At 40.1% G+C, this 16569-nt stretch overlaps 1 protein-coding gene across 7 annotated transcripts in view; it reads right to left on the reverse strand.

Annotated features, from left to right (window-relative positions):
- PLEKHM3 (pleckstrin homology domain containing M3) overlaps window positions 1-16569 on the reverse strand; it is a 204240-nt gene that overhangs the window by 37354 nt on the left and 150317 nt on the right. For 4 of the 7 annotated variants that reach the window (XM_017004073.2, NM_001080475.3, XM_011511160.3 and 1 more), the window contains one exon: window positions 2464-2621. The exons of 1 other annotated variant lie outside the window; for it this stretch is intronic. In XM_017004073.2, coding sequence (XP_016859562.1) covers window positions 2464-2621 — 158 coding nt within the window. Of the gene's footprint in view, window positions 1-2463; window positions 2622-9940; window positions 10302-16569 lie in introns of those variants that run through there. 2 more of the 7 variants (XM_006712521.5, XM_047444266.1) reach the window with 1 other exon arrangement.

The following is a 16569-nucleotide window of genomic DNA, read 5'->3' on the forward strand; positions in this document are numbered from 1 at the left end:
AGCTAATTTTTATATTTTTAGTAGAGACGAGGTTTTGCCATGTTGGTCAGGCTGGTCTCAAACTCTTGTCCTCAAGTGATCCACCCACCTGCGCCTCCCAAAGCACTGGGATTATAGATGTGAGCCACCGTGCCTAGCCATTAAACTATTTTATTGCAATATAATTCACGTACCATAAAACTCACCCCTTTAAAGTATATACAATTCACTAATTTTTAGTGTAGTCATAAGACCATGCAACCATTACCACAATCTAATTCCAGAACATTTTCATCACCCCAAAAAGAAACCTATACCCATGAGTAGTAACTCCCTTTCCTCCTTCCCCCAAGCCCTAGACAACCGCTAATCTATTCTCTTTATGGATTTGCCTATTTTGGACATTTTATATAAATAGAATCATGTAATATGTGCTTTGTGTCTGGCTTCTTTCCGTTAGCATGTTTTCAATGTTAATACATGTTGCAGCATGTATCAGTACGTTTTTTCTTTTTCTTTTTTTTTTTTTTTTTTGAGATGGAGTTTCACTTTTGTTGCCCAGGCTGGAGGGCAATGGCGCAATCTCTGGCTCACCGCAACCTCCGCCTCCCTGGTTCAAGCAATTCTCCTGTCTCAGCCTCCCGAGCAGCTGGGATTACAGGCATGTACCACTATACCCGGCTAATTTTGTATTTTTAGTAGAGACGGGGTTTCTCCATGTTGGTCAGGGTGGTCTCGAACTCCCAATCTCAGGTGATCTGCCTGCCTTGGCCTCCCAAAGTGCTGGGATTACAGGTGTGAGCCACCACGCCCGGCTACTTTTTTTCTTTTTATAGCTGAATAATTTTCCATTTATCTGGATATACTACATTTTGTTTATCCATTCATCAGTTGATAGACAATTAAGTTGTTTCTACTTTTTAGCTATTACGAATGCTGCTGCTATGAACATTTGTGTACAAGTTTTATGTGGTGTGCATTTTGTTTTTTTTTTTTAGACAGAGTCTTGCTGTGTTGCCCAGGCTGGAGTGCAGTGGCGTAATCTCAGCTTACTATAGCCTCCACCGCCTGGGTTCAAGTGATTCTCCTGCCTCAACCTCCTGAGTAGCTGGGGTTACAGGTGCCTGCTACCATGCCCGGCTAATTTTTGTATCTTTAGTAGAGACGGGGTTTCACCATGTTGGCCAGGCTGGTCTTGAACCCCTGACCTCAGTGATCCACCTGCCTCGGCCTCCCAAAGTGCTGGGATTACAGGCGTGAGCCACCGCACCCAGCCTGGTGTACATTTTTTAGAGGTAACTAATCTCTAGGCTATGGGCTAAGTTACTGTTCAGCAGTGTCTTCTAATTTTACTCCCAGTGGTTCGTCCAGTTTGGGCCTTCCTCTGAGACTGCAATTTCCCACTGCCTCTCACTTGGCCATAAAAAGGCTGTGAGGAGTTTCCTCCCTTTAAGAGGTAGCTAATCTCTGGGCTATATAAGCTCTATAAGCTAAGTACCTGCTCAGGAAACTGGAGGCTGAACTCTGCCTCTGTGTGTGTGTGTGTGTGTGTGTGTGTGTGTGTGTGTGTGTGTGTGTGTGTGTGTATCTGCATGTCTATGTGTTTATGTGTCTGTTTTTCTGTGTGTGGGCCAACCCAAATTCCCGCATGTTTACAAATAGTCTTTAGGTTTTAGGAGAGGCTAAAAGGGCTGAGTCAACTCTCAATATCTTAGCTCTACCCTACATGCTTCAACTCTCCCTGGCTGTATGCCTTACCTTCTGTTCTGAACCACAGTATAAGTGAGCCCTGCAGGGTGGGAAATGAGCCATGACATTCATGCCCAAAGAGGCCAGTGCACACACATACCGTGTAGATTTCTATTACGCTTTTGGGATGAAAGGAAAAGTAATATGTATCATTTTGTGAATCATCCATCAATCCATGGATGTGATGATGCCCAAATATTACTTTGGTTAGAAAAATCATCCCACATAAACTCCCATTTTTCTCTCCTTTGGATCCTAAAACTTTCATCGCTCCACTGCAGTGCATGCATCTGCGGAGAAAAGCACATGGCCAGGCAGCAGCTGCTCACCAGTGTCCTCTAGTTTTACCCCTGGCGGTCGGTCCAGTTTGGGCCTTCCTCTGAGACTGCAGTTTCCCATTGCCTATCATTTGGCTCTGAAAAAATTATTAAGATGCTTCCTCCCCAGTCTTCATTCTAAAATTGAACCTGAACACTCTCTGTTACCTAATAAGGCAGAGTTAGGCAATGTTTCTTTGCAGCTCTGTTATCTCATTCTGGATAAAGGTAGCGAGGTAAGGGGTGGAAATAAATACAGGAAACCAAAGGGGGAAACATGTTCTCCAAGAACAAGGAAAACCTGATCCAGGGTAAGAGACAGAGATACACTACTTGACTAAAAGTTGGCCTGATTTGGCCAAAGAAAATGGCATATTACACATTTGGGTGTTCTTTTATGAAATAAGATATTCTGTACCTGCTTGTTGAAATATCCTCAAAAGGGTAGAGGATCTCTCCATTGTTACAGATTTCACAGATGAACCCCTTCTGGCTACAAAGACTGCAGCTGTACACGTGTGAGGTGGCAAATTTAATGACCTTGCCCAAGAATGGAGCCAGCTTTCCCTCTATTACCTGCAGAAAGAGAAATGGGACAGGGAAGCACATTTATTGAGAACAGAAGTCTTGTACACACAGGAAAGGAAAGGAATTCCTTTCCTTTACACAACAGGAAAACCTCTAATTATAATTTCTCAGCAACTCTGAGGAAGAAAAGACATAGTAGTTTTGCTCCAAAAGAACTTTCTGGTTTAAACCACTGGAGGTTGTAAATTAAGATGCTGAAACTTCTTTTGTATTCCTCTTGCTTTGTAGTATAGTGTAGAAGACTGAGGCCCAACAAATGGGGAACCCTGCTTGGATAGACCAACTTCACAGTTAGGGTGTGGTATAAGAGGAGTGTGGTAGGTTTCCCAGAGTAAACTGAAAACATACAGAGTAAATCTGAATGCATTAAGTTTATGTTGTAAATGCAATAATACCTTTTCTCTGATGAATTAATGGGATAGTTTTTTCACCATCTTCCCCAAGAACATAGAGTAAATGGGGAAAAATAGGTTTCTTTTGCTGCTGGTAAGTATAGTAAAAAAAAGCTTGCAATTTGGCAGCCTGATGGCCATTTTCAGCCTGTAGGTTTTTTTCTTTTAACTTGTGATTTTTAAAATGAAGTAATTTAAAAATTGGGAAATTTCACATAAAAACCCAGATTTTTGGAAAAATCAGATGATCTAGCACAACTATGCTTGGATTCAACGTGATGATGATCCTGGCCACGCGAGGGGGCTGCCTGTTTCCACTGAGATATCTGCTCTCTGCCTGACAGCTGTTCCCATCAGGCCCCACAGTCTTGCATCTGCCTGCCTTCCACAGTGGCCTCACCTGTGGGCTTGCATACATCCCTGAGTTTGGAACTCATGTTCTGTTGATCATTTCTCACTTAACTAATACCCATGGGCTTCAAAGACTTCAGCATTTCACACGCCAGCTAGATAAAATCTGCCTTTGCTTCTCTCTAATTAATGCAGACACAAATACATGCTGGTTTTGACATAAGAAAACAATTGAAGATTACATTTAATTTGGAAATAGCTAGAAATAGCTGAAAATAGTTTCTTTCAAATGAATATAGTTACATTATAATTTTACATACAAATAATATCTGAGGGAGGCTGGGTGCTATGGCTCACGCTTGCAATCCCAGCACTTTGGGAGGCTGAGGCAGACAGATTGCCTGAGGTTAGAAGTTCGAGACTAGCCTGGCCAACATAGCAAAACCCTGTCTCTACTAAAAATACAAAAAATTAGCCGGGCGTGGTGGCAGGTGCCTGTAATTCCAGCTACTCAGGAGGCTGAGGCAGGAGAATCACTTGAACCTGGGAGGCAGAGGTTGCAGTGAGCCAAGGTCACACCATTGCACTCCAGCCTGGGCAACAAGAGTGAAACTCCCGTCTCAAAAAAGAAAAGAAAAAGAAAAAAATAGTATCTGAGGGAAATGTAGTATAAATCATACCTAAAGAGAAATTACAATGTCCAGGTGAGTAGGTAGTAGTGACTGGTAATACAAAAACAAGACTACAAAAAATGTAATCATGCCTTTTGTAAAAAATGAAGCTATACATAATACCAGAGATAAAAACTGAAGTGGTTTTTAAACATCATGGAATGATCCATGTTTTAGAAATAAATATAATGGTGGTTCCATTCAATTGCCAGACAGGGTACCCTCCCATGTGTGGAAATGTCTGCTCCAAGCCAAGGCTAGGCTTTGGGTCCCACAAAGATGATTTCTCTGGAAGACTGTGGTGAGGTTGCACCAGGAGGTACCTTTGCCTCTTGCCTCCCACCCCGGTCATTTGCAAGGGAAAGGAGCTGGAGGTACGGGGAGAAAGATCTCCTTCAATTGAAAGTCCCTCCCCTTCAACACTAGAGAACTGAGCCATGCATTTCTTCGAGGTCCAAGGCCATGCTTGGTGCATAGGCAAGACTTGCTTCGGCCCCAGGTGTGGTGACTTAGACTTAGGAAACCAATTATGAGTGGAAAATGAACCTCTAGTTAAACTGTGCCAGATGAAGCAGCCCCCCAGTGCCTACCCTGCCTTGCCCCTCCCCATCATGAACCATGAAAACCCCTCTGATGGCCTCAAGGCAGTGCCTGCAGGCCGAGGCCCTTCTGGGGGTTTCCATCTTTCTTCCACCAGACTCCAAGCCCACTCTCCTCCAAGACAGTGTTGTCTTTTCTCACCCAGAGTATTAACACTACTAAGTCTTTCACCTTAATTTATGACTCAGGATTTATTCACGTCCTGCCCACTCTAGGCTCACAGAAATAAAATCAAGTGCTAGACACACTGGCTGCCACTAAGGCACTAGCTTCGGAAGCTGGTGGTGGCAGCGGGGGTTGCCACCCGGCGTGCTGGGCCCTGGCAGTGCCTCTGCTGATTGAGCCCTTTCTCAGTTAATGGGTGTCGAGTTGGGTCATTTGTCCACCGACCCGGTCTTTATGTAAGCAGCCGTGGGCTGTGGGCAGATAGGACCTCAGAGATGCAGCATGAGGCTCTTAAAAAAAACCTGGCCATTCACTGCCTCTAATTCCCTACTGCTTTGGCATATTGGGCAATGTATTACCTCCTTAAAATAATAAAAGAATAACTTTTCTATGAAAAAGAGATAAATAAATATAATGGTGGTTAACTCTAGGGAGGGCAATAAGTCAGAAAAGCAAAAAAAATATATATATATATTAGAAAAGCAAAAACACAACTATATACAAAGTTTATATATATATATATAAGCTCTCCAAACTCATTTTCTATTTCTTATTATGTATCTCCTGGTGCAAGCAAATTGTCACTTTGTATATAGCTGTGTTTTTGCATTTGAAAAAACAATGTATAATAATTTTGCATTAAACTGAAGAAGGCTTTGTAAGAGTAGAATTTATTTTCTTAGTAAAGGGGGTAGAAATTATCCTGGCTGTTTTGAGTCAAGCATACATTTCCCACCATTCTTCAACTTACTTTTCTCTCCATTACCTTTAGGAAGCCATAGATAGACCTTCTTTTATTTATGTTCTCTGAGGAACCATTAACTCCAATAAACCCCAGTAAGGCATGCTCCTAATACCAACACATGAGATATACTTTCTAAGAAACAGCCACTACCAAATCATATATGCAACCACCAGTAAACACTTTTTAATGCGTGATGGGGTTATTTCTAAATTGTGATGGTAGCACTTCAGTTGAGTTTGGTTTTCTCATTTTACTCTTCTCTAAACAACCAAACTTAATGAGGCATTTAAAGAGAGGCACTAACAAACTATAGTCCATTTAGGGGGAAACAACCAGGATAGAGAACAGTCTGGAAACCAGGTGAGTAAAGGTTGATGAAACTGGGAAGAGAAGACCTTGAGGAAGACATGAGAGTTATTATCTAGGCTCTAAAGGAGAAGTTTGAGCATCTTGTGCATAAAGTTTTTTCTCTATTTAGTCCTTGGAGAAAGGGTGTGAACATTTTGAAGGCTCTTGAAATATTTCACCAAATTTACACTGTTAGCAATGTATATTTATTCTTAAATAGGGACCTTAATAAGCTCTGGGGATTGGTATCTGTATAATATTCAGTCTTCCTTTAAAACAATGTGATACATATCTCCATTTTATTAAATCTTCACTTATTATTGCTTAATACAAATTTATTTCCTTGTACAAGCTACTCACATTTATTATTTAGTTTAAGGTTAAACTTTTGTATATTTTTCTTATTAGCTATTGCTGGTATATTAGAATATATTGACATTTGTGTGCATTTACTATATGACAATAATTACTGAATTTCCATTGATGCTAATTACTTCTAGGTGATTCTTTTGGTTTTTCTAGTATTATATCTCTTGTTTATGTTTCATTTCTTGTTGCATCACCCAGGGCTCCTAAAACAGTATTAATAATGGTACTAGTGGTTATTTTTATTATTTCAGTAAGAATCAAACTGGAACTTATGGAGTTTATAGTGAATGACTCATTTTCTCCATTAAATACGTATATCCCGTCATTCACCACATTTCATTTATTCCCCCTCTTTTAAAATAACTGCTATACTGAGATATAATTCACATACCATGTGATTCACCTATTTAAAGTCTACAATTCAATGGTTCTTAGTTTATTCAGAGTTGTGAAACATCACCACAATCGATTTTAGGGCATTCCACTAACCCTCTGAAAAAACTCTATATCCATTAGTAGTCACTTCTGTTTTCCCTCTGCCATGCCCCTGCAAGCCCAAGGAACCAATAATTTACTTTCTGTCCAGATGCAGTGGCTCATGCCTGTAATCCCAGCACTTTGGGAGGTCGAAGCGGGCAGATCACCTGAGGTCAGGAGTTCATGACCAGCCTGGCCAACATGGTGAAACCCCATCTCTACTAAAAATACAAAAAAATTAGCCGGGCATGGTGGTGTATGCCTGTAATCGCAGCTACTCGGGAAGCTAAGGAAGGAGAATTGCTTGAACCCAGGAGGCAGAGGTTGCAGTGAGCTGAGATGGTGCCACTGCACTCCAGCCTGGGCAACAAGAACAAAAACTCCGACTCAAAAAAAAAAAAAAAAAAAAAGATATATATATATATATATATATATATATATATATACTTTCTGTCTTTATAGATTTGCCTATTCTGGAGCTTTCATGTAAATATGATCATATAATATGTAGTCTTTTATGACTGGCTTCTTTCACTTAGCATAAAGTGTTCAAGGTTCATGCTGATTTTCTTTTAAATGCCTTCACTGTAAGTCTCTTTTTTCCACCCTGCCCTAGACTTTTATCTCTCCTCTCTAGATTAATAAACTAATCTCCTAGTTTTATTTCTAGATGTCAGTCTTTTTTCTTAGATCCATCATGCATACATATTAATCAGTTTTAGACATCACTTTCATCACATACCATCTCTTCCCTCAAACCTTTAGTGAATTCTTCATTTTTGAGATGGAGTCTTGCTCTGTCACCCAGGCTGGAGTGCAGTGGTGTGATCTAGGCTCACTGCAACCTCTGCCTCCCAGCTTCAAGCGATTCTCCTGCCTCAGCCTCCCAAGTGGCTGGGATTACAGGCATGAGCCACCATGCCCAGCTAATTTTTTGTATTTTTAGTAGAGGTGGGGTTTCACCATGTTGGCCAGGCTGGTCTCAAACTCCTGAGCTTGTGTGATCTGCCTGCCTCGGCCTCCCAAAGTGCTGAGATGATAGGTGTGAGCCACTGGGCCTGGCGAATTCTTAAGTGTATCATTAATCAAAACTCTTCACTCTTTCATTTCATAAAATTATATTGAGTTACTATGTCCCAGACACTCAATGTAGAGTGAACTGGACAAAACTGGAGCTTATATTTTGCCTGGTATGCAAGTGGATTCCATATTAGCCATCCAAACTCATTTCGTATTTCTTAACATGTACCTCCTGTTGTGAGCAAATTTTCCCCTATGTAGAACATGCTTGCTCTTGCTCCTGTGCCTTCATCCATGCCATTCCTCTATCTGGAGTTTCACTTTTCTTAACCCTTACTTAAATTTCATGTAGGCTTCACAGCTCAGATCTACCCTGTCTTGATCTAGAAAGCCATCTTTGGCTACTTCAGACACCATAAATCTCTTGTGTTTCTCCCTAGAAATTAACTTTTACATCATATAATACAGAACTTGATGCTGTTTTGTACTCTTTGCTTTTAACATACGATTGTTTTGCTTATCCAATTGTAGACTGAACATTTAAAAATGATGATATTTGACAATTTTTACCCATACAAATGGCAATTTTATATGGAGAAATCTAAGAGAATATAAATTGCTTGAGGGCAAAGACAGTCTCATACTTGTTTGAAATATCCCGTCTTCCAGGCACCCAAGTTCTTGTTGACTAACCAAGGACACTTTTCTGTCTTTACCCCTGGCTGTCAGCAGTCATATCTTAGGTTGTCTTGTGTCGCAAACATTTTCAATCGTTCTGCTGTGTGATTCAAGGAGGAGGATAAAGAGTGCATGGCCTCTGTGGCAGCTCAGCTATTCAGGGATCCTTTTGCTTCTTTATACTTGATTTACTTGATTAATTGCTCTTCCCATTTGTCAGCTTACATTCATGGCCATGTTCCAAATGGCTGAAGCTGCTGGAATTTTTTTATCCAGAAAAGTGAGGTAATAGTATGAAGTTTATTTTAGAATTTACAAACATTCCTTTAATATTGTAGAAGGAAAACCTTACATTTATAATTTTCCAGGGGTAAAGATATATTCAGAAGGGTTAATCTTGTCTTTGAATACAACTATTAGAAGCACTAGGAACAGAATCCGGCCATCCTAGCATCTGGTCCAGAGGTTTCATCACTATGAAGAAGTGGGCTCCAGGTGTGATTTCTCCTAGGGTTCTTTTTGAAAAAGCATACATACATAGACACACACACACACAAAATTATATAAATCATTTTATATATAATACATACATAAATGCATACATACACACATAGACATATACATTTATGTTTATAAATATATTATTTATTTATTTTGGATACGTGCTCAAAAATAAATCAATTGTCTTTCCTCCCACCATCCCAAGAGCCTTAACTTTCACTCCCACTTCCTAGCCATCTCGGTAGGGGCTTAAGGGGCCATATTATACAAATACTAGGAAGGCAGAGTGGCCTCAAATATTAGACCAAAGCCAGAGGAGCATACTACCTTCAGGTTCCAACCAAGAATGAAGAATAGAAAAGAGCTGCCAGAATGCCACTGGGCCATTGGATCTGAAAATGACTATGGGTGAGACAAAGTCAAATGAGGCATCCTGGCCAACAAGTACACAACAGTGAGAAAAGTCAGACATTTGAACTCTGCTATGTCAACCCTAAACTGCTGTGACTTGCTAGAGTGACCACAGTCCTCAACAGGGCTCAGCGTGGGGAAAAGTCCTAGAAACAGTGTGCTCTGGCTAGAGTTGATGCAGGGGAATCTACTATCACTGAGATCAAGCCAGGACCAACTAGGACAAAATAAACTTCAAAATGACTTCCTTAACTGGTCAAAGCTTATTATTATTTTTTTTTTTTAAATCTAAACATGGTAGAGTTTTTGCTTCTCAGAAACTGGGGTATTTTCCAATGGATAGTGGTGGACTCATTAGGGAGTCTCCCAGAGGGGCTGGCCTTCGGGAGCTTTCCATACCCCATCATAACTCAGTTGTCTCTGGGTATTGGGAAGTAGTGGGGTAGAGTGGAAAAAGCAAGGCTGATCTGAGGACAAATTCTAGCTCATCTACTTTCCAGCTGTGAGACTTTGGCAAGCTACTTAACCTCTTTGAGTCTCAGTTTCCTTAACTGAAAAATTAGGACAGTATCCACTTTGCAGGGTTGAGAGAAGGATCAGATTTAATACATTGAAAGCATCGAATATAGTTTCTGACTTACAGCAAGGGATCAATAAATAATAGCTAATTAGCTTATCCCAATCTAAATAGAGATTTTCTATGATTTAGACTCATTCCTCCTTTTAAACACTTGAGATTTACATCAAGGGGAAGGAAAAAAGCTATGAAGGCCACATGTCATTTTTTTTTTAAAGGAAGACATCAAGTTGTTCATCTGTTTGGATGGGATCAGTAGAAATTAATGTAAAGCAGTCACATCCATTTCTTCTGATATTATCTGTTTGGATGGGATCAGTAGAAATTAATGTAAAGCAGTCACATCCATTTCTTCTGGTATTGCTGTAAATAAGAAAACAGGGCTTGTACAAGCATACGTAATTTTGCCAAGGCCAAAATGCTAGGGGGAAGACATTTAACATGCCTCAAACTTAATCTGAATCACTTACGTAAGATAACATCTTAGCAACACCTGGAAATTGTGTCTTACTCCTTTCCTACTTGTACTTAAATTAGTCATAGGCTAATATAACTTTATAACAACCCCTCAAAAAGTCAAAAGGACACTTCATCTTTAGCATTAGAAGGCTGGTAGTTTTTAGTTAAACCAGGCGGTCATTTGGTAATATGACTAGTGATAGTGAAACAGACCTGAGATGAGGTTTAGTTATCTCTATTTATTCCCTCAAAGGGCATGTCTACGTGAACAAAATCATGACAGTGTAATTAGAAGGAAACGTGTAGCTCTTCCCCCATTTCCTTGCTTCCCTGCACTCAACCTCCTTTCCCTTTCTCCATATACCAAATTGCCCTATCTCCTTGAGAAAAGGCAGATGTCCAAAATAGGGTGAAAGTTTGTTTCTGTTTTCCATTAAACTTAATGTCTTGTACTAAGGAAGGTACTAGTCTGATTTATTTACTTGGGGAGTGTGTATATATGACTATTTCAGAGGTGTTATACTAACTGGGTATTCAAAGAATACACATTTTCATTTGTAACAAAATTAGGTCACTTTATTGCCCTGTAACACAAAGACAAAATGTAGCATCAAGCTTGTATCGGCTTCCAGATTTTGCTATTTTTCCACCTTTGCAGTCTGTCTATAAATTCTTTTCACCATCATTTTAGGTACTTCTAGAACTCAAGGAACTGCCAAATATCACTTTCCACCATCCAGTCCCTGACAAATATGTCAAATATGCTTACCCTTCTTGTGTGAAAGAAGCCCATGAAATCTGCCTGGTTGAACTTCCAGCTCAGGGATACACACATTTTGCCTCCCTCTTCTATTCTGGTCAAGATGGTCAGCATTGGAATTTGAGGCCTATGGCTTTCTTGCAGACTAAGACAACAGACTTTATTTGATTTACTTTCTTGCAGACCAATCAAAAATTACAATTAAGTTAAAAAATAACCTAGTGCTGCCTTCCCCAAACCACAGTTTCAGAAACAGCTGCTTATTACTCATGTGTGGCACCAGGAAATTGCAGTGTCATGTTCAAGGTCTGCAGCCAATAGAGATCTGTGGGATTGGGAAAAGGGCACAAATGATTCTTTTATGTTGGTTACCTTCACTCCCTCAGCACCACCACAAAATTCAAAATTTATGGGGGGCGGAGAAGACAGAGAACTAGTAACCTGGGCAAGAAAAAAGAGAGGAAAAAGCTCTTTCTCATCAAATTTCCTTATGCATTGGCTAATTCCTTCCCTCTGATTTGTCAATTTACCTTCCATTTCAAAACAAGCTTCCTTAGCCATTGTGTAACATCTAGATTTGGAGCGACTGTCGGGAATGCTTTGGTGAAGAGGGCTGCTGCACTTGACAAACAACTCCGTCTCTGAAAGTCTAACCAAAAGACCCAATTCACAGTGAACGGTCACCTGCCACTCACTAGGAACAGGCTGGCTTGACGAAATGGAAGAATCAACATTGTCACACATTGTGAAATAATTTCCCATATAGTTCAGTTGCATTTGCCTGGCCAGACAACCATGAAAGGTTGCATTTTGTTTCTAGGGTCATTTCTCAGTTCATTTAATAGGTGGGTAGAGTGAAGTCTAGTGGCCTTGGCCAGGTGAGTTCATGGGAAGTTAGGAAAAAACAGCCTGTGGATTCTGCTCAAGCTTGAAAATCCTAACACACCTCACGAGACTATTCTGAATCCTCAATTTTAAATTTTACTTCTCTTACTCATCAATCCTTAAAAATAGAAAATGAAAAGTAAGCTGGATGTGGGGGCTGATGCCTGTAATCCCAGCACTTTCGGAGGCCAAGGTGGGAGGATCACTTGAGCCTAGGAGTTCCAGACCAGCCTGGCAATGAAGTGAGATCCCTATCTCTGTAAAAAATTAAAAAATTAGCCGATTGCAGTGGTATGCACCTGTAGTCCAAGCTACTTAGGAGGCTGAGGTGGGAGGATCCCTTGAGCCCAGGAATTTGAGGCTGCAGTGAACTACGAGCTATGATTGGGCCACTGTGCTCTAGCCTGGGTGACAGGGCGAGACCCCATCTCAAAATAAATAAATATCACCAAAGTATATGGGATATTCCTATTTCAAAAAGTTGTTCAAAACTCCATTTTCCCATAATTAACCTTTGAGCTCCTTATCATGGCTCAATGCTGGGATGTTTGTACATAAACATAGAAGTGTCTCTTTTCTAATTAGCTGCTCCTCACCCTCCCCAATCCATTATGGGACTACTCTAACAAGACTTAAATTTTGGCTAATCAAGCACTTTACTGAGGGTGGATTGTGATGCCACCAATTAGCTCTTATCTGATCCTCTCCCAAAGGTGATAATTTCTGCTTAGAGCTGGGAAACTATGTGATAGTTTAATCTGGTTTAATGCAATTGGGTAGATTTATGAGTGGCCACCATCACTCCTATCAAATTACATTTTGCTCTCTGCTGGAAACTAGGTCTTAGGGAATAAAAGATTTAAAAAATTTCAATTTCATTTTTCTCAGTGGCTAGAATGGCAAAGATGAAACCGAGAAGGCACATTTCTTATCCAGAAAAATATATGGGATGGGGTCTACTTCAGACAGCTTTTCTGCACTAAGTGCCTCAAGGGTTGTGGTTTAGTTAAACCACAACTCCATGGAACTTAATGAAGCATTTGCAAAGAGTAAGTACAAGAATGTGGTCCAAATATTCTGAGCTCAAAACAGGTTATATGATCTGATATAGGTACATGTGTTTTATTTATGAGGAAAATAAACTACAGTATTTTAAATTGAGACAATTCCAGAAAATTCTCATAGATGGTCAGCAGAATTGTGCTTCTCTGTTGAGTTAGTTACATGTTTGAAATAAATCTGATTTAGGTCTCTACTATTCCTTTTAGCCCGAGTTCTGACATTACTGACTCATTGAGCAGTAAATGAGGAAAAGTTCTAAGCAGACTTTTTAACTCACCTTCGTTACTTAATATATGAGAAAACTGAGCCCAGAGAGGTGATGAGCTCTACCTAAGATCACCCAGCTAATTAGTGACAACTTCTGACTCACTTTCTTAAGCACCCCTTGCTACTCCAAGGAAGGGGCCTTTCTGAGGGCATCTGAGGTCAGAGTGTAGCCCCAGGATTTGGTTCAGCTCAGGAATTCTGAGGTCACTGGATGCCTACTGACCCACCTTGTAGAAATGTAAGATTTCTAAAACTGAGTTCCTGCACAGAAGCAGGATTGTGCAGACTAAATTAGCCCAGGTTTAGATCCACAGTTTTGATCTGAACTGGATCTGCCTTTGGCTTATTGAAAAATAATACCTCTAGTCCTTATATGAAGTTCTTGTATAAAAATTCTTTTAATGGTCACATCTCATGCAATTTTCTGAATATGAAGATGATCTTTAACAGCATCTTATTGGCTCAACTAGGGGAAACTCATAAATTAAAGTTACACAAAATTCTGTGACAGAAATGGATTTATCATCAACTTAAACCCGAGGCGGCCGGGCGCAGTGGCTCATGCCTGTAATCCCAGCACTTTGGGAGGCTGAGGGGGATGGATCACCTGAGGTCAGGAGTTTGAGACCAGCCTGGCCAACATGGCGAAACCCCGTCTCTACTAAAATTACAAAAAAATTAGCCGAGGGTGGTGCTGCATGCTTGTAATCCCAGCTACTCAGGAGAATCACTTGAACCCGGGAGGCGGAGGTTGCAGTGAGCCAAGATCGCGCCAGTGTACTCCAGCTTGGGCAACAGAGTGAGACTCCGTCTCAAACAAACAAACAAACAAACAAACACCTTAGGCTATTTGCCAAAACTAGAGAAGTAACTTTATTAAAAGGAGAAGCAACTACAGCTGAGGAAAAACAGAAAGCAAAACAAAGCAACTCCCTGTATGTACGTATGTGGGAGAAACTAAAGAAATATGGCTTTTCAGAAACAGAGGAAAAACAAAAGTAGCATTACCTGATCATGTAGGGGAATGAACCATAAGAGTTAGGAGAGACATGAAAGGCTGAGAGCAAAGAAGGGAAGAAGTAGGGAAGGATGAAAGCAATAATAATAATAATAACAATGATAGTGATATTTAAAAAAAGAAGAAATTGGGCTTGATGGTTCTGTGGCAATTTTTTTTTAAGTTTAAAAAATAGAGAACACAGGCTTATAAAGAGGGAAGAAAGTTTCATTGCTCAATGAAGCTGATTGAGATCTGAAATGGGAGTTGGAAATCTTGGTTTCTATTCCCAGCTATGTCCCCAGTAAGCTCTATGACCTTTTCTGTTAATCACTTAACTTCTCCATGCCTCAGTTTCCTCATCTACAAAATAAAGTGATTCTATTCAGTCATTCAAAACTAGATGATCAATAGGGATCTCTTTCAATTTGAAGATTGTACGATTTTATAATTAACCAACAAGGAAGACATCAAAAGAAACTTGTTGAATAGCTCCAAGAATGTTGCAAGGGAATATCTGCGGAGCTAGATAAAAGGTGAGTTTAACCAGACTAATTAGAAGATACTCCAGGAAATTCTCAACAAAAGTGAAATAATGTCACCAGCTTTTTGTTCCCCTGCCTGCTGAGCTCCATTCAAAGAGGGAAGTAAGGCCTTTTAAGAATCATCCCCTCACAGGTATGCAACCAGTTATCAGTTTTCCTGAAAACCTCTACAAATCCCTTCCTTTCATCAATGCATTTAATTAGTTAATGTTTAGATAGCACTTTCGGGATGTAAAGTACAATATAAGGGCTCAACATTATTATTACTTAACAGCTTTTATGGGACCAGCCATTCCTGAGATTAAATGAGAAACTAAAGTGAGTCCCTGGTTAGAAGGTTGTGATCTAATACATTGCTGGCTCACTGATGAGGAAAAACAAGCCCTGCATGTACATTGAAATAGGTGCTTTTATTAGCCTGTATATCATTGTCTAAGATGGTTGGGGATTTTTACTCTTTGCTTCAAGGTCCACAAGTAGAAGCCACAACTTTCAATACAGTAGTGATTACAATTTCACATGTCCTATATTTCTAGAATATTATCTGTTGTGTCTGCAGTGTCTGTATGCCTGGGCACCTGTACATCCGGAATATGGATTCAAATACATGGGAATTTGCTATACAATAAAGGTGGGGAAGATGAATTTTTAAATAAATGATGTTGGGGCAAGTTGTTAGCCATCAGGGAAAGCAAATAAGCTGGATCCCTAACTCATCTCATAAAAACTGTATTTTCAGGCCGGGCATGGTGGCTCACACCTGTAATCCCAGCACCTTGGGAGGCCGAGGTGGGCGGATCACCTGAGGTTGGGAGTTCGAGACAAGCCTGACCAAAATGGACAAACCCTGTCTTTACTGAAAATACAAAAGTAGCCAGGCGTGATGGCACACGCCTGTAATCCCAACTACTTGGGAGGCTGAGGCAGGAGAATTGCTTGAACCTGGGAGGCGGAGGTTGCGGTGAGCCGAGATCGTGCCTTTGCACTCCAGCCTGGGCAACAAGAATGAAACTCCGTCTCAAAAACAAACAAAAAAACTGTATTTTCTTTTTTTTGAGATGGAATCTTGCTCTGTCGCCCAGGCTGGAGTGCAGTGGCACGATCTTGGCTCACCGCAACCTCTGCTTCCTGGGTTCAAGTGATTCTTCTGCCTCAGCCTTCTGAGTAGCTGGGACTACAGGTGCACACCACCATGCTCGGCTAATTTTTGTATTTTTAGTAGAGATGGGGTTTCACCATATTGGCCAGGCTGGTCTTGAACTCCTGACCTCATGATCCGCCCGCCTTGGCCTCCCAAAGTGATGAGATTACAGGTATGAGCCACCATGTCTGGCCTTTAAAAACTATATTTTCTGATAAACTGAAGACTTAAATATAAAAAGAAAACCATAAAATATTTTTAAAACTATAACATTAGGGAAAAATATTAGAAATTTAGAATATTAGAAAAATAGAATTTACCCCATTTATGTGGGGTAAATATTTTGTAATCTTAGATGCTATAAAAAAGTAATAAATCTAAATATATAAAGTAAACAATTAGTTCAATATAAAATATCATTTAAAAGTCAAATGACAGAAACAAAAAAAAATTTCCTATTTATATGAAAAAAGTGTCAATTTCCTTAGTATACACAAAGCTCTCTTAAATTAATA

This window comes from Homo sapiens, chromosome 2 (assembly GCF_000001405.40).
Source record: "Homo sapiens chromosome 2, GRCh38.p14 Primary Assembly".
Taxonomy (NCBI): Eukaryota; Metazoa; Chordata; class Mammalia; order Primates; family Hominidae; genus Homo; species Homo sapiens.